This window comes from Homo sapiens, chromosome 22, assembly GCF_000001405.40.
Source record: "Homo sapiens chromosome 22, GRCh38.p14 Primary Assembly".
Classification (NCBI taxonomy): domain Eukaryota; kingdom Metazoa; phylum Chordata; class Mammalia; order Primates; family Hominidae; genus Homo; species Homo sapiens.
This window is the reverse complement of record NC_000022.11, coordinates 31,269,516-31,292,927: the sequence shown is the minus strand read 5'-3', so window position 1 is coordinate 31,292,927 and position 23,412 is coordinate 31,269,516. Positions and strand designations below refer to the sequence as shown.

General features: G+C 50.9%; 2 protein-coding genes and 1 pseudogene across 5 annotated transcripts in view, besides 7 other annotated features; 1 reads left to right on the top strand and 2 right to left on the bottom strand.

Moving 5' to 3' along the window:
* The first annotated feature begins 393 nt into the window (after window positions 1–393).
* Window positions 394–11,335, top strand: PIK3IP1 (phosphoinositide-3-kinase interacting protein 1). 2 transcript variants are annotated; one of them, NM_052880.5, is made up of 6 exons: window positions 440–653; window positions 1,632–1,748; window positions 1,844–1,963; window positions 3,229–3,429; window positions 3,535–3,613; window positions 9,640–11,328. In NM_052880.5, the coding sequence occupies exons 1-6, from the start codon at window positions 584–586 to the stop codon at window positions 9,842–9,844; spliced, it is 792 nt and encodes a 263-aa protein (NP_443112.2). In that variant the 5' UTR covers window positions 440–583; the 3' UTR covers window positions 9,845–11,328. The 2 variants fall into 2 exon arrangements, with proteins under 2 accessions (NP_001129383.1, NP_443112.2); NM_001135911.1 differs by lacking the exon at window positions 3,535–3,613 and having other exon boundaries at window positions 394–653; window positions 9,640–11,335.
* Window positions 1,058–1,107: an enhancer, noted in NCBI's record as "active region_18854". NCBI's record gives its function as "activates an Ori minimal core promoter by ATAC-STARR-seq in GM12878 lymphoblastoid cells {active_cell/tissue: GM12878}" and the evidence as "EXISTENCE:reporter gene assay evidence [ECO:0000049][PMID:35858748]".
* Window positions 1,668–1,787: a silencer, noted in NCBI's record as "silent region_13626". NCBI's record gives its function as "represses an Ori minimal core promoter by ATAC-STARR-seq in GM12878 lymphoblastoid cells {active_cell/tissue: GM12878}" and the evidence as "EXISTENCE:reporter gene assay evidence [ECO:0000049][PMID:35858748]".
* Window positions 1,968–2,197: a silencer, noted in NCBI's record as "silent region_13625". NCBI's record gives its function as "represses an Ori minimal core promoter by ATAC-STARR-seq in GM12878 lymphoblastoid cells {active_cell/tissue: GM12878}" and the evidence as "EXISTENCE:reporter gene assay evidence [ECO:0000049][PMID:35858748]".
* Window positions 2,248–2,447: an enhancer, noted in NCBI's record as "active region_18853". NCBI's record gives its function as "activates an Ori minimal core promoter by ATAC-STARR-seq in GM12878 lymphoblastoid cells {active_cell/tissue: GM12878}" and the evidence as "EXISTENCE:reporter gene assay evidence [ECO:0000049][PMID:35858748]".
* Window positions 3,595–3,644: an enhancer, noted in NCBI's record as "active region_18852". NCBI's record gives its function as "activates an Ori minimal core promoter by ATAC-STARR-seq in GM12878 lymphoblastoid cells {active_cell/tissue: GM12878}" and the evidence as "EXISTENCE:reporter gene assay evidence [ECO:0000049][PMID:35858748]".
* LIMK2 (LIM domain kinase 2) overlaps window positions 12,848–23,412 on the bottom strand; it is a 67,783-nt gene continuing 57,218 nt past the window's right edge. For 2 of the 3 annotated variants that reach the window (NM_005569.4, NM_016733.3), the window contains 5 exons: window positions 21,727–21,792; window positions 20,224–20,398; window positions 19,421–19,476; window positions 17,620–17,777; window positions 12,848–14,631 (listed from right to left, as the gene is read on the bottom strand). In NM_005569.4, coding sequence (NP_005560.1) covers window positions 14,487–14,631; window positions 17,620–17,777; window positions 19,421–19,476; window positions 20,224–20,398; window positions 21,727–21,792 — 600 coding nt within the window. In that variant the 3' untranslated portion in view covers window positions 12,848–14,486. Of the gene's footprint in view, window positions 14,632–15,289; window positions 16,140–17,619; window positions 17,778–19,420; window positions 19,477–20,223; window positions 20,399–21,726; window positions 21,793–23,412 lie in introns of those variants that run through there. The other variant, NM_001031801.2, reaches the window with a different exon arrangement.
* Window positions 13,963–14,463: an enhancer, noted in NCBI's record as "H3K4me1 hESC enhancer chr22:31674451-31674951 (GRCh37/hg19 assembly coordinates)". NCBI's record gives its function as "activates a minimal SCP1, AML or CMV promoter by ChIP-STARR-seq in primed H9 embryonic stem cells {active_cell/tissue: H9 hESC(primed)}" and the evidence as "EXISTENCE:reporter gene assay evidence [ECO:0000049][PMID:30033119]".
* On the bottom strand, window positions 15,513–16,491 carry PPP1R14BP1 (protein phosphatase 1 regulatory inhibitor subunit 14B pseudogene 1; annotated as a pseudogene).
* Window positions 16,140–16,720: an enhancer, noted in NCBI's record as "H3K27ac-H3K4me1 hESC enhancer chr22:31672194-31672774 (GRCh37/hg19 assembly coordinates)". NCBI's record gives its function as "activates a minimal SCP1, AML or CMV promoter by ChIP-STARR-seq in naive and primed H9 embryonic stem cells {active_cell/tissue: H9 hESC(naive and primed)}" and the evidence as "EXISTENCE:reporter gene assay evidence [ECO:0000049][PMID:30033119]".

Below are 23,412 nucleotides of genomic sequence, written 5' to 3'. Positions count from 1 at the left end.
ATTGCACTCCAGCCCGGGCGACAGTGTGAAACTCTGTCTCAAAAAGAAAAGAAAAGAAAAAAAAAAAAACTATTACTCCACTCCCCACCAGAAACTCTTATTTTTTCCCCCCTATGTGGTCATGAATTCCTCCTGGGTGCATAGCTCCCTAAGTTGTTCTGTGTTTTAGTGCTTATAATTTCCCACATCCCATGATGCCCCTTGATAGAATTATTTTTTCTGTACTCACACAAATGGAAACAGAAGAGATGAAAAACCCTGGGGATGCGGCCTCGCAGGTCTCAAACTGATCGGCTGCTAAGCACAACCTGCATATCTCTTGGCTGAGTTCCTTTCTTGGCTCAGTTAGATTTTGCATGACCTAGGAGGCTTAGGACCCAGGGGGCGCCTTTCAGCTGAAAAACAGCTCGCGCTGCAGCAAGCTAGCTGGGAAGCTCCCAGTTCTAAAGAGAGGCTGTTTACCAGAACAGCATAACAAGGGCAGGTCTGACTGCAAGGCTGGGACTGGGAGGCAGAGCCGCCGCCAAGGGGGCCTCGGTTAAACACTGGTCGTTCAATCACCTGCAAGACGAAGGAGGCAAGGATGCTGTTGGCCTGGGTACAAGCATTCCTCGTCAGCAACATGCTCCTAGCAGAAGCCTATGGATCTGGAGGTGAGATTACAATCTTTCCTTTCCGCAGCAACTTCATGAAACAGAAGGGGTAAAGCCCCCTATTTCCCAAACAGGGCCAGGATGACAGGAAACGAAGCGTTTAGCCGGTTTCTGTTGTCCCGTGAAAGCTTTTCCACCCCTCCTTTCCTTGTCAGGGGCTTGCAGCTCCATCTTTGCCATTAAGAACAAAGGCAAGAAGCCACTTTCTCTCTGCCTTTCCTTGCTCATGAGTGGATGGAGCTTGGGGGTTCATCTCCCCTACTCCCCAAGTCCTGTTCTTTCTAAGCCCTTTGCATGGTGTGGTCCTCCTTCCCCAGCCTCCTTCTGTGGTTCTCCTGCAGAGGGGAGTGGGAGCTTGGAGTCTCATCCAGTCAGCGATGAGGCCGGTTTCCTCCGTTTGAGGCTGTCTTGAATCTTTTGCCTGACGGAGTCAAGGCTCCTGGAGAATTCTCCTGGGAGGGAGTATTTGCCTTTTAAACGGGCAGAAGGTGGCCGTATCCGTGAAGGAGGAAACACCGGAGTTTATGTAACGTGGCCATTACAACACAGGGACAAATGTCACGTCTGGGCGCCCCCCGTCCCAAAACTCCCAGCTCCTCAAAGGGACCCTAAGCCAGGCCTCCTCCTCTCCATCTCCTCCTCCAAAGTGGTCACAAGTTCAAGAGTAACAACGCTTTGCACTTCTGCAGCGCTTTCCAGGTTTCAAAAATAAATAAAACCTAACAGTCTCTGAGCGTTGACTGGGGGACAGGCACAGGCTGGGGGCTTCACACCCTGAGGTGTGCGTGGAGTTGGGGGGGGGGGGTGCGTGGGGCGTGGGGGTGTTGCCACGAGAGGAGAGGGAGGCCCAGCAGGGCCCGGGGTCCCCTAACCAGGCTGAGGTTCAGCCCGGGTGGTCCCGGCTCCCCTGTCCGCCACGCTGGGCGTCTTCCGTTCGCTGCCCGCTATTCTGTGTCCGGGGGCTTCTTTTCCTCACAGGCTGTTTCTGGGACAACGGCCACCTGTACCGGGAGGACCAGACCTCCCCCGCGCCGGGCCTCCGCTGCCTCAACTGGCTGGACGCGCAGAGCGGGCTGGCCTCGGCCCCCGTGTCGGGTAAGTGTCCTCCGGGGGACGGCCCCGGGGCTGGCGGGCGGCGGCCGCGTTCCCGGTGCCAGCCCCGGCACACATTTCCTTCTCTCCTCTCTTAGGGGCCGGCAATCACAGTTACTGCCGAAACCCGGACGAGGACCCGCGCGGGCCCTGGTGCTACGTCAGTGGCGAGGCCGGCGTCCCTGAGAAACGGCCTTGCGAGGACCTGCGCTGTCCAGGTACCTGCCCGGGACCCCGGGAATCCCCGCTCCTGGCGCTGACAGGAAGCGGCTGAGACACTCGTGGCGCACGTGCGGCCGCGCGATGCCGGCCGGCCCCGCTCCGCCTCCGCGCCGTCCGATTGGCCAGGGCTGTCTCCAGGCCGCGGGGCTCAAAGCCTATTGGCCGCCGCCGCCACTCGTATGAGCTCATCCGCCGCGAGCGCTTGTAAACAACTGCGCGGGGCGAGGCTGGGGTGAGGCTAGGTCTCTCCGCCGCGCGTCCTGAGGAGTGGCTTTTGGCCCCTCAGCGTTTATTGACCGTTTGCGGAGCGTCTGCAGTGTGCTAGACCCACACTGCTCACAACCCCAGCTCCCCAACCTCCCCTGACACACACCGCGGGAAGAAGTCGTTTGAGGCATCTGAGCTTCAGAGAAGTTAAGCGATTTACCAAAGGCAATGGCAGGGGACAGATTTGAATTCACGTTTCTTAGATTCCAGAGCGCAGGCTTTTTGCTCCCAAAGCAGCAAGAGAGTTTTCTAGGTTTAAATGGGATAATCAAAATAAAGCATTTATTTTTTATTTTTTATTTTTTGAGACGGAGTCTCGTTCTGTCACCCAGGCTGGAGTGCAGTGGCGCAATTTCGGCTCACTGCAACTTCCGCCTTCCGCGTTACAGTGATTCTCCTGCCTCAGCCGCTTGAGTAGCTGGGATAACAGGCGTGCACCACCACGCCCAGCTAATTTTTGTATTTTTAGTAGAGACGGGGTTTCACCATGTTGGCCGGGCTGCTCTCTAACTCCTGACCTCAGGTGATCCGACCGTCTGGCCTCCCAAAGTGCTGGGATTACAGGCGTGAGCCACCGCTCCCGGCACAAAGTAAAACATTTTACCTAAGGACTGGCACAGAGCGTACGCTTAGATGTGAGCTGCTCAAAGGAAGCATGGGTTGTTTCCTGAAGTAGAAGTGGGGGGAATCCCCTGCAGAAGAACGCAACCGAGAGGGGCCTTGGGAAATAGCAAGGATTTGGACAGATAAAGACGTGGGAGGTAGGAGAGAAGCCCTTCCCTACGGCCTTCCTCTCTCATTTGCCTTGTCCCTGAGATGGTTCAGCCCTCTCAGGCCTGATCTTACCTCTGGGGCAGAATTTGACTTTGGGTTGTGTGTGGGGGGAAATTCTTAGGTGACCCACCTTCATCTACCCTAACACTCAGGCCAGGTTCAGCTGTGGAATTCACTCAGGGCAGTCCCTGATGAGAGCTGTTTCCCACCTCATCTCCAGAGACCACCTCCCAGGCCCTGCCAGCCTTCACGACAGAAATCCAGGAAGCGTCTGAAGGGCCAGGTGCAGATGAGGTGCAGGTGTTCGCTCCTGCCAACGCCCTGCCCGCTCGGAGTGAGGCGGCAGCTGTGCAGCCAGTGATTGGGATCAGCCAGCGGGTGCGGATGAACTCCAAGGAGAAAAAGGACCTGGGAACTCTGGGTATGACGGTCCCCCACCCCTGCCCTCGTTGGGATTCATCAAGAGATGTCATTTGCTGATTGTCTAGGGTGTGGCTAATGGGACCTTGTGTCCTATCCTTGGCAGGCTACGTGCTGGGCATTACCATGATGGTGATCATCATTGCCATCGGAGCTGGCATCATCTTGGGCTACTCCTACAAGAGGTCAGTAGCTTCTCTTCTGGGCCCTCTTAGGAGGAGGGGAGGAAGGTACACAAAGTCAAACTTTGTGGCTTTCTTACCCAAAAGGAAGCAAGATGTTGAAAATCAGCTCAAGATGTAGAGACTTGGTCCTAGTCTTTATCTGCTGACCTTGGACAAACCCTTTCCTTTGGTGCCTTTACACCTCACTTAAAAGCCTTGTGAGGGATGTTCTTGTTCCGCATTTTACAAATGAAGAAGCCTCTGTCAGAGACTTGCTCAAAGTCACATAGCCTAGGAGTGGCAGAACCTGGATTCAGACCCAGCTCTTTTGATAGCAAATTCCCTGCTGTCTGATCCCACATGCCTGGCATTGAAGTGAGTGGCACTGCAGAAATCAGGCTTGACACTGATTGCAGGGACCTTAAGACCAAATTCTTTCTGTGAGTTATAAAATTCTGCTACTAGAAAAGGTTTCCAGCCACTGTTGCAGTTGAGGCTTAAATTTCCTGAGCTATAAGCAGTGGGATCTCCTCTGCTAGGGAAGAAAAAAGTGAGTTGGAGAACAGAAAGTCTGTTTGCCACTCTTCACCACGTGTGAGAAAGCCAAAGAGGCTACTTGTGAAACTCAAGGACATGACCTGTGGCTGGGACAGCAGGAGAAGAATGCTTATTTTGAAAGGTCCCACGAGATGTCCGTCAGTGACTGGTGCATGATGGTAAGCCAGACTGGCATTCATCTTTACAGCACTGGCTGATTGTGGAAAATTATTTGCCATTCTTGGGCAAAATCGGGGGATTTGACTTCTAGCCCTGGGTGTCTGTAATATTCTCCTCTGTGGTCTGAGAAAACTTCCTGTGAGGAAAGTGACACAGTAGCCTGCATTTTTCCTTCCTTTCCTCCCTCCCTCCCTCCCTTCCTTCCTTCCCCTTTCTTTCCTTCCTTTCTTTGATTTTTTTTTTTCAGGGTCTCGCTCTATTGCCTAGGCTTGAGTGCAGTGGTGCGATCACGGCTCACTGCAGCCTCAACCTCCCAGGGCGCAAGTAATTACCCCCACCCACCCCCACTGAGTAGCTGGGACTACAGGCATGTCCCACCATGCCTGGCTGATTTTTAATTTTTTTATAGAGACAGGGTCTCACTGTGTTGCCCAGGCTAGTCTCAAACTCCTGGGCTCAAGCAGTCCTCCTACCTCAGCCTCCCAAAGTGTATAGGCATGAACCACCATGCCTGGCATGCAGCCTGCATTTTCCAGTGATGAGGGCCATGTCTGAGCCCACAGCCTCAGTGGATCACCCAGCAGGGCATCTTTAAAGGCCTTGTAGTCAACCTCCTCATTACAGATGAAAAAGGGGAAGTTTGGGTATAATAATAACAGCAGTAGCAAACATGTACCGTATGCCAGACACTGCTTGAAGCACATGCTTTAACTCATAATCACCCTTATGAGGTAAATGCTGTCATCTCCAATTTACAGATGAGGAAACTGAGGCAAGAGGGGATTATATACGTTACCTGAGGTTACACACCTAGCATTTGGTGGAGAGAAGTCCTTTAACTAGCTATCTCTGTGACCCTGGGCAAATTGCTTCAATTTCCTACTCCACATCATGGTGTGGAGCTATGGCTTTTGACTACTTAGCTCAGGGTGTGGCACATAGTAGGTGGTCAGTAAATGATGGCTGTTTTTCTTTTCTATAAAATGTGTGGCTGGGCGTGGTGGCTCACACCTGTAATCCTAGCACTTTGGGAGGCCGAGGCGGGCAGATCATGAGGTCAGGAGTTCGAGACCAGCCTGGCCAACATAGTGAAATCCTGTCTCTACTAAAAATACAAAAAATTAGCCAGGCGTGGTGGCGGGCACTTGTAATCCCGGCTACTTGGGAGGCTGAGGCAGGAGAATCGCTTGAACCTGGGAGGCTGAGGTTGCAGTGAGCCGAGATTGTGCCACTGCACTCCAGCCTGGGCGACAGAGCCATACTCCGTCTCAAAAAAAAAAAAAAAAAAATGTAGGTAATGGACCAGGCGTAGTGGCTCACACCTGTAATCCTAGCACTTTGGGAGGCAGAGGTGGGTGGATCGCTTGAGCCCAAGAGTTCGAGACCAGCATGGGCAACATGGCAAAACCCTGTCTCTACAAAAAAATACAAAAATTAGCCAGGCATGGTGGTGGGCGCCTGTAGTCCTAGTTACTAAGGAGGCTGAGATGGGAGGATCACCTGAGCCTGGGAAGTCGCTATGGTGAGCCATGATTGTGCCACTGCACTCCAGCCTGGGTGACAGAGTGAGATGCTGTCTCAAAAAAAAAAAAAAAAAAAAAAAAGTGGGTAATGGACTAGTACTCTCTGATTTCTTATGATGCAGGAAGCAGAGGTCCAGAGAGGGAAAGTATTGACTTGAGAGGACATCCTGACGCCCAGTCTGAGGTTGTTTCCCACAATGGGATGCTTGACATGCAGGTCCAGGGACACCTGCTTGTTCATTTCAGAGTTAATGACATAGTGGCCCTGGCCTTACAATTCATAAGCAGACCTAAGCCACATTGGCTGAGTTTAGTCCTTGAACTATCTCCTTTTTCCTCAGCCACCCAACAGCATTTGGCTGTCCTGCAATCCTGTGACAGTTTCCAGGCCTTCCAGGTGCTTGAACTGACTAAACATTCTTAATTCTGAGCTCAGTTCTGGTGTCCAGTGGAAGTCTTTTTTCTTCTAGATTTGTTCCTCTAGGCTGTCACGAGACTGCCCTGAGGCCTAAAATTTATTTTCCTGTAAACTCAGGGCAAGGCACCCAGTCATCAGACTCCCCGTCACTAACGACCAGATCACCCCTTTCTTCAGCAGAACTGCTCTGAGAACAGACTGTACAACAGGAAACCGCATGTGGGCTTAAAAACAAGCTTGCAGCCTTCATCTCTTCCTAAAGTCAGAGAGCAGAGTGTCCTGAAAAGAGCTGTAGGTTGAGTGTGGGTTCAGGTGCCCTCTGAGCCTTGGTATCTTGTCTGTTAAATGGGGATATATCCTCCCTCCACATCTACCCATCTAAGATTATAAGTATTAAATGTAAACAGAAACAATAGCACACCAATCAGGTAATAATCACAATAGCAGCCAACATTTATTTCATGCTTTCTTAATAAGTAAGGCCCTACTGTATGCTCTTCCCTGATTATCTTTTTTTCTTAATTTTTTTTTTTTTGAGACAGAGTCTCGCTGTGTCGGCTCACTGCAACCGCCGCCTCCTGGGTTCAAGTGATTCTCCTGCCTCAGCCTCCCGAGTAGCTGGGATTAGAGGCACCCGCCACCATGTCCTGCTAATTTTTGTATTTTTAGTAGAGACGGGGTTTCACCATGTTGGCCAGGCTGGTCTTGAACTTCTAACCTCAGGCAATCCACCCGCCTCGGCCTCCCAAAGTGTTGGGATTATAGGCATGAGCCACTGCACCCAGCCTCCTGATTACCTTGACTAAGCCTCACAACCACACTAGGAGCACTGTTAGATTTTACAGTGAGGAGCTGAGACCTAGCAGAGTTAAGTACAATGGCCAGGCTACACAGCTAGTAATGTATGTCTGAGGAGTATTAGTATCTCCAGCAAGTCCAGTGAGGCCAAGTAGCCTCATGTAAATTTGCTTTGAATTGCAAAGGAAAGTAGGAAAAATAGAAATTTAAAAAAAGGCTGGGTTTAAAGTCAGAAGAAACAAGATCTAGTTCTGGAACTTTCACCTATTCTGGATGTGACACTGGACAAGTTATTTACCTTCTCTGGACCTCAATTTCTTCATCTGTACTGTAAGGGGGTTAGATATGGTGATACTCCCAACTCTATTTCCTAAAAAGACAATATTGCCGGTGCTAAGACTGGGTTCAAATCCCAGCTCTGCCATTTGCTTGAACAAATAGTGTAACTTCTCTGCATCTGCCTTCCTATCTATGAAACAGATCAAAATAGATACCACATAGGTTGTGAGGATGAAATTGGACAGTATAGTTTAGGCATACAATTGGTGTTCTATAGCCTGGGAGAGGAAGTTGGAGGCAGCATACAGTAGGGCCTTACTTATTAAGAAAGCAGGAAATAAATGTTGGCTGCTCTTGTGATTATTACCTGTAGCTGCCTTGGGAACTTTTCCTGAGCAGCAGTGTGGCACAGCACTGCCTCTGACTGGGAAAATAGCAGCGGCTCAGAGTAATAATTGAAGACGACCTGTGTAGTCTGAATGAGGTCTGTGGTGCTTCCATACTCTGGGAGAGGAAGTTGGAGGTAGGCAGCAGCTTCCTCTACACCTGCTCTCTCTGGCCAGCTCAGCTCCCAGTCCCACCCTGGCCTTGGAGCAAGCAGTCAGGGTAGGTACTGTAAGCCTTGAGCTCTGCCAAAGGCCATGAGGCTTGCCTAATGGGATGGAGCTTTTCCCTGGCTGGGATGGGTGGGCAGGCACCAGGCTTCCTCTTAGGGAGGGAGGGCTGTAAATGGGGGTGGGTGGGAGCTCAGCCTGGCCGGGTCTTTGTCCTGGTAGTCTAGGCCACGAGGTTCAAATGGCCAGTCTGTGACTGAGGAGCTAAGTGTACTGTCTGCACTAGCTTCAGAGGGAGGTCTTATTTTCTGATAAAAAGGGGAGGGAAAAACTGTAAGTCAACACCACTCCACTCCCTTAGGAGAGGAACTAAGTCAGTGAACAAGCCTTTTGTTCTTTCTTGGCTGCCACACAACACCCAGGCTAACCACCCCCTACCCCCAAGCAGTGAGAAGGGGCTAGGCTGCCTGATGGTCAGTGTAGCAGGCCTAGTGGCCTCTCAAAGGTCACCCAAGGGAGCTGGGAGCAGCCACTGCATCTCTAGGACTCACAGGCACCATTAACAGCAGGCACATGGGATTGAGTGTGCTTCCAGGCTTCCAAATGGATGAGACTAATCCAGACTAGTGCCAGCATCTGCTTTCTTTACCCTTGACTGCTCTTCCAGCCCTGCTCTGCCTCATTAATACAAATTGATTTTTTTCCCCTAAAGACTTGTATATGATGCAGCCTGGCCATTAGCAGCAGCTCAGCTGGCCACAGGTAAAGGAGGTTGCTGAGGAAAGCAAGGCGCGGAAGTTAAACTCAAAAGCCTCAGTTTCTTCATCTATAAAACAGGGATTAGGCTGGGTGTGGTGGCTCACGCCTGTAATCCCAGCACTTTGGGATGCTGAGGCGGGTGGATCACCTGAGATCGGGAGTTCGAGACCAGCCTGACCACCATGGAGAAACCCCATCTCTACTAAAAATACAAAATACTCTGGGCGTGGTGGCGCATGCCTGTAATCCTGGCTACTTGGGAGGCTGAGGCAGGAGAATCGCTTGAACCTGAGAGGCAGAGGTTGCAGTGAGCCGAGATTGTGCCATTGTACTCCAGCCTGGGCAAAAAGCACGAAACTCCATCTCCAAAAAAAAAAGCCTGTAGCTGACATTTAGTAGATGCTTATTAAAAGTAATAAGCATCTCTGGGAGGCTGTCTCACAGCAGGATGATCAGGTCAGTTTTCTGGACAACTTTATGGGTTAGGTCCGAAGTTCAGATAGTTCTCTGGGTCTCTGGGGCTGAAAGAACAAAACTGTGTCTTGCTTTAAGAGTCTCTATCTGGCCAGGTGCAGTGGCTCACGCCTGTAATCCCAGTACTTTGGGGGGTGGGAGGATCGCTTGAGCCCAGTAGTTTGAGACCAGCCTAGGCAACATGTTGAGACCCTGTCTCAACCATAAAAAAAAAAAAAAAGTCTCTGTCCTTTACTTTATTTTCATTGAGCCCCGGTGAAGCTGTATGAAGTCCATACTGCTGTCACCCTATTTTACAGATGGAGAACCTAAGACCAGAGGTGCAGGAGCTTCTTGTTGAGTTTAACGCCGTCTTGCAGAATGGATATCCTAGAATCCTGGACCTGAGTTTGGGTCCTGGCTCAGCCACTGATTTGTTGTGACAATGGCAAGCTGCTGCTCTTGCTGAGCCTCAGGGATGCTATCTAATGAGCAAAGCTATGCAGGAGGCATAGCCTGAATGTTTGTTTGTTTTTTTCCTGCCAGGGGGAAGGATTTGAAAGAACAGCATGATCAGAAAGTATGTGAGAGGGAGATGCAGCGAATCACTCTGCCCTTGTCTGCCTTCACCAACCCCACCTGTGAGATTGTGGATGAGAAGACTGTCGTGGTCCACACCAGCCAGACTCCAGTTGACCCTCAGGAGGGCACCACCCCCCTTATGGGCCAGGCCGGGACTCCTGGGGCCTGAGCCCCCCCAGTGGGCAGGAGCCCATGCAGACACTGGTGCAGGACAGCCCACCCTCCTACAGCTAGGAGGAACTACCACTTTGTGTTCTGGTTAAAACCCTACCACTCCCCCGCTTTTTTGGCGAATCCTAGTAAGAGTGACAGAAGCAGGTGGCCCTGTGGGCTGAGGGTAAGGCTGGGTAGGGTCCTAACAGTGCTCCTTGTCCATCCCTTGGAGCAGATTTTGTCTGTGGATGGAGACAGTGGCAGCTCCCACAGTGATGCTGCTGCTAAGGGCTTCCAAACATTGCCTGCACCCCTGGAACTGAACCAGGGATAGACGGGGAGCTCCCCCAGGCTCCTCTGTGCTTTACTAAGATGGCCTCAGTCTCCACTGTGGGCTTGAGTGGCATACACTGTTATTCATGGTTAAGGTAAAGCAGGTCAAGGGATGGCATTGAAAAAATATATTTAGTTTTTAAAATATTTGGGATGGAACTCCCTACTGACCTCTGAGAACTGGAAACGAGTTTGTACAGAAGTCAGAACTTTGGGTTGGGAATGAGATCTAGGTTGTGGCTGCTGGTATGCTTCAGCTTGCTGGCAATGATGTGCCTTGACAACCGTGGGCCAGGCCTGGGCCCAGGGACTCTTCCTGTTTCATAAGGAAAGGAAGAATTGCACTGAGCATTCCACTTAGGAAGAGGATAGAGAAGGATCTGCTCCGCCTTTGGCCACAGGAGCAGAGGCAGACCTGGGATGCCCCAGTTTCTCTTCAGGGATGGATAGTGACCTGTCTTCATTTTGCACAGGTAAGAGAGTAGTTAGCTAACCTATGGGAATTATACTGTGGGGCCTTGTGAGCTGCTTCTAAGAGGCTAACCTGGAAACTAAGCTCAGAGGCAAGGTAATAAAGCACTTCAGGGCTTGCTCCCCAAGTGGGCCTGATTTAGCAGGTGGTCCTGCGGGCGTCCAGGTCAGCACCTTCCTGTAGGGCACTGGGGCTAGGGTCACAGCCCCTAACTCATAAAGCAATCAAAGAACCATTAGAAAGGGCTCATTAAGCCTTTTGGACACAGGACCCCAGAGAGGAAAAAGTGACTTGCCCAAGGTCGTAAGCAAGCTACTGGCATGGCAAGAGCCCAGCTTCCTGACGGAGCGCAACATTTCTCCACTGCACTGTGCTAGCAGCTCAGCAGGGCCTCTAACCTGTGATGTCACACTCAAGAGGCCTTGGCAGCTCCTAGCCATAGAGCTTCCTTTCCAGAACCCTTCCACTGCCCAATGTGGAGACGGGTTAGTGGGGCTTTCTATGGAGCCATCTGCTTTGGGGACCTAGACCTCAGGTGGTCTCTTGGTGTTAGTGATGCTGGAGAAGAGAATATTACTGGTTTCTACTTTTCTATAAAGGCATTTCTCTATATACATGTTTTATATACCTCATTCTGACACCTGCATATAGTGTGGGAAATTGCTCTGCATTTGACTTAATTAAAAAAAAAAAAAGACTCCACATTGCCAAGTTTTTGAGGGGTAACAGGAACCCTCCGTGTAAGTTGAGAAGCTTTGGGTTACCTTGTCAACACCTATGTGGCAAGCTCTGGGCCTTTTCTTCATTCATCCTCGCCCTGTTACTGGAAAGTGACAACTGCAGCCTGTGTCCAGATTTTTTTTTTTGAGATGGAGTTTGGCTCTTGTTGCACAGGCTGGAGTGCAATGGCATGATCTCGCCTCACTGCAACCTCTGCCTTGTGGGTTCAAGCGATTCTCCTGCCTCAGCCTCCAGAGTAGCTGGGATTACAGGTATGTGCCACCACACCTGGCTAATTTTTGTATTTTTAGTAGAGACGGGGTTTCACCATGTTGGTCAGGCTGTTCTCAAACTCTTGATCTCAGGTGATCCACCTGCTGAGGCCTCCCAAAGTGCTGAGATTACAGGCTAGAGCCACCGTGCCCGGCTTGTGTGTCCAGATTATCATCATCAGGAATCTTTCAGGTTGAAGCAGGAAAGACAGGTGTGCAGGCGTCCCAACAAGGTGGTTGGTCATTGCAAATCCTCTCCCCTTCAGCAATTGTTTCCAAGGTGGAGGTAGTTAAAATGAATATCTAGACAGCCCTTGTTAAAGGCTGGAGTGCGGCAGGGGTTGGGTGGTGGGTGACGGGGGTGGTGCTGCAGCAGCCAAAGGGGGAATAACTGCAGAGGAGGAAGGGTCACTGGGCTGCCTGCAGCAGCCCTGGGCTGAGGAAGTTCCCTGCAAGGTGACTACTATGACTCCAGAAGAAAAGATACCAACAGGAGTGTCTCCTGGACTTTTAGCAAGGGATTTCAGCCACAGGTTATCAGCCTCAGGAACACCCAGATGACCTCTGCCCATGCCCAGCCATTGCTCTGTGGTTCTGCCAGCAATGCGTACTCCAGATCATCAGTTTTTTTCGGGAACCATATTCTGTCCTTAAGTTGGATTCTTCAAGCTTTGAGAGTGCCTGGGAGAAAACACCTTTGGGTTTACAGATTTATATTGTGCCCAAGGCCCCACTAACCAGATAGCATTGTCCTTCCCAATGGTCACTCTTCTACGACATCCCCCACATGCAGAAGCAAGAAGAAACTGGTCTTCTCCTCTCAAGCACTTGTAAAGAAACACAAGGGGTGGGGTGACTTGCATTCATTTCTTCCCATTGCAAAGGTGGCACCCAGCACTGAGGAAAGCAAGCCAGGATACCCAGGCTATGGAAGTATTCATATAGAGAGGATGAAAGGGTAGGGCTCCTAAGGAATGACTCAGCTGGCATGTGAGAGCCAGGCCAGGAAAAGGTCATAGTCAGTCACACCTGCTGCAAGGAAGGGGCTGCCTCAGGTGGGATGTACATATTCTCTAGAGCAGATGGGTGTCTGCTTGAGGGTTTTAGACTTGGGTGCATGAAAACTCTCTGCTATGGGGAGTTTGTGTGGGCTAGGCCAGAAGGTGGCTAGCAGACCCTCTACATTTATGTCCCTGAGCCAATCATGTTTTCACTCTCCATATTGCCAGTTATGTTAACTGCTTAATTTATTTAGTCTGATCAATGGCCCAGTTCAGGCCCACCACTCCTACACTTGCTGGGGACAGCCAGGAAACAACCAGCCACACAATGCTGAACTGTGCTGCTGCTGGGAGTCCAGGGCTCAGCCCTAAAGCAAGCTTGCAAACTTCACACATAAGTACAGTCTATATAGCAAGTAAACTCTGACCAGAGATGACATCTGGTCCCACAACTCATCAGGTCTATGTACAATATTTCACATACCACCCAATAGATAAGATAATATTAACAGCAACCACTCTCCTTTATCAATTCCCCCTGCTCCAATACAACCACCACACATTGCATTAATACCCCAAACCCATTCCCAATTTATTAAATATGGTGCAAGCTCATAGACACTTAGAAGAGGCAAATCTAGTTGTGATGAAGAGTTCCTAGAGCTCTGGGAGCCAAGATGGAGGTTTTCCAGTACCTGCACATGTGGCTCAGGAGGATGCTGCCCAGGAGCTAATGAGTTGGGAGAGCAAACATGGGAGGTAGAAGTCAGATGGCCCAGCTCAGGGAGCTATCTCTCTCAGCATCTCAGCTTTGAGACTCTGCCACCACCTCTTCCCAGCCCAAGCTGCTGCCTAAACCAGGCATGTTGAAGGGTGAGCAGTGGTTGCCATGAAGCCAAGACCAAGAGATTGCTGAGACTCCCACTCCCCTCCCTCAGACTCTAGGCCTGTGACAAGCCACACTGTCCTCCAGAACCCATCGAGCTTTAGGCAAAATGTTTTAGGCATCTGACTAAGGAGCCCACCCGAGTATGAGTAACAGAAGCCAAGATCTGAGCTTTCTAGAGGGCAGGGCCTCTTTCTAGTCCCCCAGCCTCTTCCTTTGCTTGTGACTGTTTGTTTCAGACAGAAAGGATGTTGTCCGTAAGTTCTCAGCCAGTCTCCAGTATTAAGTTTGAAAACATGAGGTGGAGGCTTCCTCTCACATTGATGTGGTCCCTGGGCTGGCTAGAGCCAGTGAGCAGGTAAACAGAAGCCAGCCCTTTCTCTAACTCCTGGCCTGTTCCACCACATATTAAGGGACTCTTCAAAACCTACTCCCTCAACCTTGCTCCAGGAAGGACAGGATCTGGAGTAGAAAGGGGGAGCATCACTGACTTTTTCACACCCTTTGAGCCATCAGTCTTTCTTTCGTCCACACACTTGAAGTCCTCCTGCACCCAGCTGGACTAGTGACTTCAGAGTTCACAGGCAGGTTCACCCTGGGATCCTGCCCAGCAGGTCCAGGTCACGCTGATTAGTGTAAGCAAGAGCCTCCCACAATCCACTGCCAGGGAGTTCCTGGGTGGATTCGAGTAACAGATTCCTCCTGGCCCAAAGGCCAGGGGTTTTTTTCTTCTTCACAGCTTTCAGGCAAGTATTGGATTTACAGACAGTAACTAGGCCCCAGAACCTGTGGAGATACATTTCCCTGGTGCTGCGCCCACTTGCCTCCTGGGGAGGTAATAGGAATGGCTTGTTCTGCTTCTAAACATTCCGCCAATCCACAGGAAGCCCGGACGGCCCTGCTCACAGCAGGAATGGGGCACAGAGGGGCAATGCTGGCTGTAGAACACCCCCCTGCAGGGGGCTGGGCCAGGGCTAGGGAGGTGAGTCCCGGGTCAGGCCGTACTGCATGCTCACAGTGTGGTCCAACTCCTCCAGCTCTGCAGGCAGCGGGATGCCCAGCTCCCCCAGGTACAGGGAGAGGGCCTCAAAGGAGTCCTCCAATTTCGAGAATGCTGGTCTAGAAGGAAAAGAGGTAAATTAGAGGCAGGTGGAACATGAGCAGGGCCATGGGGTGGGTGGAAGGGATCTAGGCTCAGCTACTTCCTGGTTGTATAACGTCAGGCAAACTCCTTCACCTAGTAGTGCCTCTGTGAGAAATGGGCATAATGTTACCGGTACCTCATATATTTGCTATAAAGATTAGGTAACACTATAACAAGGCTGGACTAGCTGGAGTTAATACTTAAAAACAATAGGAGAAAAACTTCCCTCCCATATCTTAGAGAAAATGCAGTTATCAAAGGTGGAATCGGAAACACCAGGCTCCTAGTGCCACGGAAATGGCTTGGCTGCCCCGGAAGCCTAAGACAGCTCAGGCTTACTCCTCCTCCTCCATGTTTATGCTTAAATGTCATGTCACCTCAGTGAGGCCTGCTCTGACGACCATATTTAAAATTGCAACTGGTACCCTGAACAATCGTCTTTACTTGTCTTGACTCTTTTTCCATAGCATCTGCCACATTCTAATATTCAATATAGTTTACTTATTGTATCTACTGTATGATACAGTAGATACCATGCTAGAATCTATGTTCTATGAGGGTAAGCACCTTTATTTTGTTCGCTGCTGTAACCCAAGTGTTTAGAACTGTACCTAGCACACAGTAGGCATTCAATACTGTATATATATATTTTTTAATAAATTAAAGATATTTAGAATGACAAGAGGTATTAGAAAACAAATACTGTGTAGCTTCACAATTTCTCCTCAAGCTTTTACACTGGTGTTACTGAAGGACTGCGGTCCTTGGCCTATAAAGGAACAAGGTATAGATTCTCCCACCAGAAAATTTCAACTCTAATGTGGACCGCTGGAAATCATTTTTTTTTTTTTTTTTGAGCTGCACCAAAGGCGTACCCTACCTCGCTTTATTAAAGGGCCCGTGCCGCAGAGTCAATATAAAAACACAAAGTCCCATCAGTTTAATAACAATAAAAAAATCCAAAAGTGGAAAACTGAGGGGGCAGGGGAAGAGACCCCTGGGCCAGGGGCACGAGGAGCCCTGCTCATGGAACCAGGCCTGGCCGCAGGGTCCCCCGGTATTGCTGTTGCTACGAGGTCGGGGGGTAGCGATTGTCCTATGGGAGCCACCGTTCGCCTGGGTCGGGGACCCTCACTTCTTCTGGGGTGTGCTCAGCTTCTGCATGGCCCGGATCTTGTCCAGCAGGCCAGAGATGAAGGCCTCTGTGGGTTTGTAACAGTCAACCAGCAGCTCCTTGACCCTGGAAGCCCAGGCATCGTCACTCTCCATGTCCAGGAGCTCATCCACGTCAATCTCTAGTTCTGAGATCTCCTCTTCCTGGCAGTCGTAGAGGCGCGTGAGCTGCTCCAGGATCCACTCCTCTAGGTTGAGGTGCTTCCGTAGCTCCTTGGGGTCATACTTGATGGTGACCTTCCCTTGGCGCCTCACTGGGCCCTCATCATCCGCGCAGCCCGGGCCCTCTCCTGCGGCCCCGGGGGGGGCTCTGAAAGTAGATGCGTGGTCCTTGGCCGCCACTGCCTGGCCTGGGGGCCGGGGCCGGGGCCGCCAACGCCGCGCCCCCCGCGGTGCCGCTGTCCGCCACGGCGGCCTCCGGGGCCACGTGCGCGCGTGGGGCCCCTCCTTGTGCCGCCGCCTCCGTGACGCCCGCCGGCTGGCTCAGGTTAGCTCGCCGGCTCCGCGGCGAGGGCGGCGGCGGGGGCGCCCGGGGGCAGCTGCAGCATGCGGAGCCCCCGGGCCTGGCCTGGTCGCGCCCCGCCCCCTCCCCGCCGATCCGCCCGCCCTTTGTCCCCTGCGGCCGCCGCCGGGGCTGCCGCCGCCGAAGCGCTTTCTCTATCCGGAAACCATTTTTAAATAAAGATTATGTCCCAACTGGTTATCCTGGGAGGGTGGAGTTGGGGGTGAGGAGAATGTTGAGGGATATATTGGTTAAGGGAGATTACAGAAGACGTATTTCCTGTGCTATAAACTTTGGTAATGTTTGAACTTGTTTTTAAAAGAAACATGATTTTTGATGGCAGGAAAAGAACCCCATTTTTGAGACAGAGTTTCACTCTTGTTGCCGAGGCTGGAGTGCAATGGCGTGATATCGGCTCACTGCAACCTCCGCCCCTGGGTTCAAGCAATTCTCCTGCCTCAGCCTCCCAAGTAGCTGGGGTTACAGGCACCTGCCACCATGCCTGGCTAAGTTTTGTATTTTTAGTAGAGATGGGGTTTCACCATGTTGGCCAGGCTGGTCTCGAACTCCAGACCTCAGGTGATCCACCAGCCTCAGCCTCCCAAAGTGCTGGGATTACAGGTGTGAGCCATCGCGCCCAGCCAGATTCTCGTTTTTTAACCACACACTTGAAAAGACCTAGGGTAACTTTGGTAATAATGAAATTATTACCTGAGAAGAATAAAGGTAATTTTGAAAATACTTCCTCAAAGGAGAAATTAGCTAAATGCATAAAACTGCTCACTGTAGTTAAATACCTATTGTAAAGAGAAACTGGAAAAACCTGAACATCTACATTACAATATGTTCAGACAGTCTCTCAATAGAATTTCATGTTGTCGACAAAAATGATAAACAGGAAGACTGGATAGTAAACACAAGGGAAATGCAGGGCAAAATACAGAACTATTTACTATAAAAAAAAGTATATGTGTAGATATGGACAGGGGAATATCGAAAGATGAATACACTTACTGTATTCAAATGGTTTGGGTGAATTTCCTTCTTTTAAACTTTCTTTTAATGGCTGTGTTTCTGTGTCCTATCCAGATTACTTGCTGCTATGTCTTTACCTCTCTCTTCTCCAACCTGTACATATGTGTTGTCAGATGGCTCAGGGGTTGACAGCCACATTCTTGACCTCAAGGCTTCTCTCACCCCTGTGCTTGCAGAGGGCTCAGGGGTGGCCTTAGACAGAGGCAAACGTCCCAGGACCCTGTGAGCTGGGAGAAAAAGGCAGGATACCAACCTGCTCTCAGGCTCCAGTCTGCAGCAGATGGCGGCCAGCGGGAAGAAGGCCGGGGGACAATCTGTGGGAACAAACTTCTCCCAGAAAAGCTTCACGTTGAGGCCAAAGTCCAGTGTTCGGGGAAGGCAGTCAGGATCTGCATACACCTGCCCAATGATCTGTAGGGTAAGAAGACAGCTGTTTACAAAGGACTACAGAGGCCACAGATACTTGGCAAGGGAAAGGGATGCTGGGATGTGGACAGGAAGAATGGCAGAAGAGGAGGTGGTAAAATAGGTTAGAGAGCTCTCCCCAATCCCCAATCATCTCTCCAAATCTTACTAATCCAGACCTGTATCCACTGAGAGCTGGGTTACTGAAGAGGACTAAGAAGGGGCTTCACTGCAGAAGCCAAGTGTTCCAAATCAGCATCTGCTCCTAGCTTCCACTCATCCTACCCTGCCTTGTCTGTGTCTCCTTGTGGCTGTGTGTGTGTGCCAGAGTTAAGGCTCTATGAGGTGCTGGATCTGATTCATGTCTGAAACCCTCTGGCACCAGCCCAGTGCTCTGAACAGAGGTGTTCAATTAATATTAAAGAAAACAATTTTTTAAAACAAATCTTCCTTCATGGCCAGGCACGGTAGCTCATGCCTGTAATCTCAGCACTTTGGGAGGCTGAAGCGGGTGGATCACCTGAGGTCAGGCATTTGAGACCAGCCTGGCCAATATGGCGAAACCCTGTCTCTACTGAAAATACAAAAATTAGCCAGGCGTGGTGGCGCACACCTGTAGTCCCAGCTACTTGGGAGGCTGAGGCAGGAGGATTGCTTGAACCTGGGAGGCGGAGGCTGCAGTGAGCCAAGATTGCACCTCTGCACTCCAGCCTGGGTGACAGAGTGAAACTCCATCTCAAAAACAAAAACAAAAACAAAACATTCCTTCATTATCCTAACCATCCCTTGTCTCTCCTCTCCTCTACCCCTCACAACTTTGTAGGAATTACAGAAGGCTTTGAATGTGTGTGTGTTTGAGTCGCTGAGATATGCTGTCACCTGACTAAACTCCTAAAGGTAGGAATCTTTCCAAGATTCCTCACTCTGTCCACGTGGTACCTGGCACAGGGCTGACACTTCCTAGAGTGGCTACTTCTACTTGAAGGGAACTGAGAAGGGCTACATTTGGCCCAAGAGCTAGCTAGACAGCCACATGAACAGTCTCTTGCCCTTCCTTCTGGAATTCTGAGTCTCATCTGCCCCTTATCGACCATGTGCAAGCCACTGCCCTCTTCCAAGCCTCAGTTTCCTCAACTAAAAAAAAAAAAAAAAAAACCTGGCCGGGCGAGGTAGCTCACGCCTATTAATTCCAGCACTTTTAGAGGCTGAGGCAGGCGGATCACCTGAGGTCCGGAGTTCAAGACCAGCCTGGCCAACATGGTGAAACCCTGTCTCTACTAAAAATACAAAAATTAGCCGGGCATGGTGGTGTGTGCCGGTAGTCCCAGCTACTTGGGAGGCTGAGGCAGGAGAATCACTTGAACCCAGAAGGCAGAGGTTGCAGTGAGCCCAGATTGTGCCACTGCACTCCAGCCTGGGCAACGAAGTGAGGCTCCATCTAAAACAAAAAAACCCTGCCAGTCCTTCTCTTAAGACCAATGAAACACGAACGTGGCAAAGATGTGCAGATGCGTTATAAACCATAAAACCCTACACCCATGTTGATTTTAGTCAAGCTAGTCATCCCTAGGAGGAGATGCCCCAGTTCCGAGGGAAGGCAGAGCTGCTAGGCCTGCTGCCTCGGGCATGGCCTTGGTGCCAGAGCTCACCTCACAGAGAACGATCCCAAAGGAGAAGATATCCACCGTCTCATCATAGCTCTTTCCTTGGGGAACACAGGAGAGCACACTGTTAAGTTTACATCCCTTACCTGCTCTGCACTGGGTCTAGGGTCAATCTAAGCCACAGCTAAGAACTAGGGCTAGAACAGGTTCTGTAGGGACACCCCACAGGCTGTCCTGCGCAGACACCACCTGAAAATAGTCCTTCCTCAGCTGTAGGTGAACTGCCTTGGAGAGCCCTTATAACATAACACTGCCTAGGATGAAACTGCACGTTAAAGTGGAAAAGAACCAGACTAGGGTTCATCTAGCCTCTGCCATTAGGCAGCTGTATGCTCCTAGGCAATTCACTGAACTTCTCTGGGCCTCAGACTCCAAAATGGATTGTATTCAGACCATTTCTGAGGCCTCACAACCCTGATTTCAAGAATCCCAACCAGCATCTCTGGTTGGTTTGAGCATTATCCACCAGAGGGCACCACACTTCAGTTCTCACCATGGAGAGAGAAGGCTAAAGCTGGGACAATAGCCTGAGCTCTTAGCGATCCCTGAGGCACAAATGCCACAGTCAGAACTCACCTTATCCCCCATGATGGGACACTGATCAGTTCCCAGCCCCCTGAGCTCAGGAGCTAAATCGTGAGGCCCCACCTGGCAAGGGAAAAATATCCTCAGCTCTGGGTATCCGGTCCTACGCTTCACAGGCCTCCCCTGGAATTCCCAGGGCTCTGATGCAAGGGCAGCATCTGTCCTCCCTCTGCGGGTGTCCCCTCCAGGGCTTCAGGACTCACCGTTCAGCATCTCAGGGGCCATCCAGTAGGGGTTTCCCACCACCGTGTAGCGCTTCTTGCGGTCGTTCTTGCGCAAGGTGCGTTTCTTGGTGGTGGCCTTCTCCATGGGGGCCCTTTTCCTCTCTTCCACTATGAGCCGTGACAGCCCAAAGTCTGCCACCACCACAGTCTTGTCCTGGTAGGATAAAAGACAGGTCAGGACTTCATGGGGATGTTCTCAAACCTGGCCCTGGGGAGGAAGCATAGGCAAGAGAAGCCACTGAGAAGGGGAGAAAAGGTGTATAGCAAGGGAGAATCAGAGCAGAAAGCTCTATCAAATAGACACACTCAGGCCAGGCACGGTGGCTTCCACCTGTAATCCCAGAACTTTGGGAGGCCAAGGCGGGTGAATCACCTGAGGTCAGGAGTTCAAGACCAGCCTGGCCAACATGGCAAAACCCCGTCTCTACTAAAAATACAAAAAAAAAAAAAAAAAAATTAGCTGGGCGTGGTGGCACACGCCTGTAGTCCTAGCTACTTGGGAGGCTGAAGCAGAAGAATCACTAGAACCCGGGAGGTAGAGGCTGCAGTAAGCCAAGATTGCACCACTGCACTCCAGCCTGGGAAACAGAATGAGACTCCATCTAAAAAACAAAACAAAACAAAACAAAAAAACAGACACACTTGGCATTTGTGTTTCTGAGGGTCTGGTATCTGTGCACAGCAGACTCCCAGCCCACAGTGGGTTCATGGCAGAGCCACTGGAGCCCTGGAGGTGAGGCTCAGGGACTTGGAGAGTGGAACTCAGAGGTGGGACAGGGGGTTGCTTTTGTTTTTCCCTGTCCTGTCTTATTCCTAAAATGATTTCAGGCAGTGGCTAGAACCAGGATAAGACAGAAAAAGGCAAGGTGGAGGCAGTAGATGGGGAGACTTGGGGGAGACAAGCTCTTTGAATAGCTACAGGGCAGTCATGTGGGAAAGGAATGAAGATTGCGTGGTGTGGGTCTAGAGGGCAGAGCCAGGGCCAGCCGGTAGACACCCAGGAAGCCAGATAGCAAGTCAGTAAGACAAACAACATTGTAACCACCACAGCTGAGGGGCAGTGGGAGGAATGCTGGTCTCAAACTGGTCCCTGTAAATTTACTAGCTCGGTGGCCTCAGGCTGAGGCTTCAGGTGCCACCACTGTAAAATGGGGTCAGCAATGAACTGTTTTACAAGACTACTATGGGGCAAAAGCAGGTAAAATGACAGGGTTTTCTACATATAGTCAACAAACTTCTGAAGTCCCTTCTAATCAAATTATTTCAAAGGTTGCTAATGAGAGAAGGTGAAATTATGTCTGTGTGTGTCTCGGAGCTCCCAGAGGACAGAGAAGGGCATTGGAAGAAGCAGGAAGGGAAAGATAGGAGCTCCTAGGCAACACCTCTGCCCTCTAGCCAGAGGGGACAAGTCAGCCTCCTTTGTGACAAGGAAGCCAGGAAGGATAGGACCCTGGAGGCCAGGCCCAGAGCAGTGGGACATACCAACTTGATGAGGCAGTTGTGCGAGTTCAGATCCCGGTGGATGATGCACATAGAGTGCAAATAGGCCTGGAACAGAAGCATGAGCTGAGGCTACAGGGCCAGCAAATCAACTAGACCCTGAATCTGGAATTGGGCGCCATAGATGCTCTCCTACCAGGCCATGCCCACCCAGCTTCAGAACCCAACCTGGACAACAGGGCCAGGGCCTCCTATGGCCTCTCCCTTGTCCCAATACCAACAGGAAGCCTGGACTTCCTCTGCTTCCCTGCTGCCATCTCCTGCCCATCCTTTGGTTCACCAATCACTAGCACAGTGGCTGGCCAAAGCCCTCACAGCTCTCTCCTAATGTCCCCAACTTCAGAAAACCCTGGCCGTTGCAGCACCCCCTCCACCTCTACCCATTTTACTTAGATCCAGGCTGCTCCCTCCTCCCCACTCTCCCAATCTCTGGCTTGAGCCACTTTGGATCCTTCCTGCCTGCAACAGAGAAGTGACTTCTTGCTCCAGCTAGCTCTGTCTTTCAGACATTCACCTCCTCTAAGACTCCACCTTCCCCACTGTCTAAACTTTAAGCTCTCCCCCTTCCTACCAAAATGTTTGTCAACAAATTTGTTTGTTATGTCTCCTCTCCAGGCCTCCACCACTGACTCTTACCACTCTCAGGAGCAACTTCCTTTCTCCTTCCCTTGCAAATGTAGAAGGAGCCACTCCTTGCTCTCCAGCCCCCTGCAATACTACTTTCATCCCTTAGGCTCCTGGAGCTGCTCACACACCCAGGGAGCTCTTCCTGAATCGCTATAGCTCATGACCTGCCTGCCTGCCTGCCTGAGGGAGTGCTCCTCAAAGACTGTCCACAACTTTCCTATGCTACCTGATCCTGAGACTCTTGTGTGTCTGTTTTTTTCTTCCAGCCTTTTCAGTGTCAGCCCTGCTCAAAGCCATCTCCTCTTCACAAGCTGAGACACCCCCACCAGCTACATGGATGCCTCTTCTGTCCCACAGCTCCAGCTGCCCCTTCTCTGCAGATTAGGTGACTAGCAGCCTCTCCCTAAGCCAGTCTCATGGAGCCAGTTTCCTGCCCAGAAGATGCTGATAGGTTCTGCTAGCACAGAACAGCAGGGATCAATGCTAGCTCTTCCCAAACCAGTTGCTCAACAATCATGGCTATCCCCCATCCCCCAAATGTCTGGTAAGTGACACCTCAAGCCACTCGTAACTCCTCCTCCTCCTCCTCCTGTTCCCTCATTGCCAACCAGTCTCTCCATTCTGACTCCACCCGGCCTCCCAGGCTCCTGTCCCCACAGCCACTACCTTAATTCAGAAATTTGAAATGTTTCATTAGCCCCCTATGCAGGGCTCCATTCCCTGGACCCTCCGCATTCCACCCCAATGTACTAACCATATCAGTCTCTCTTTTTTTTTTTTTTTGAGATGAAGTCTCACTCTGTCACCCAGGCTGGAATGCAGTGGTGTGATCTTGGCTCACTGCAACTTCTGCCTCCCAGGTTCAAGCTATTCTCCTGCCTCGGCCTCCTGAGTAGCTGGGACTACAGGCGTGCACCACCACGCCCAGCTAATTTTTGCATTTTTTTCTTTAGTAGAAACAGGGTTTCACCAGTTGGCCAGGCTGGTCTCAAACTCCTGACCTCAAGTGATCCACTCACCTCGGCCTCCCAAAAAAGTGCT

What these genes read in the sequence shown, in the direction of transcription:
- PIK3IP1 (NM_052880.5), top strand. Translation starts at nt 584, where the DNA reads ATGCTGTTGGCCTGGGTACAAGCATTCCTCGTCAGCAACATGCTCCTA. An exon ending in GGCCTCGGCCCCCGTGTCGG is followed by an intron (nt 1,749 to 1,843) that starts GTAAGTGTCCTC and finishes CTCCTCTCTTAG; the next exon opens with GGGCCGGCAATCACAGTTAC. An exon ending in CGAGGACCTGCGCTGTCCAG is followed by an intron (nt 1,964 to 3,228) that starts GTACCTGCCCGG and finishes CCTCATCTCCAG; the next exon opens with AGACCACCTCCCAGGCCCTG.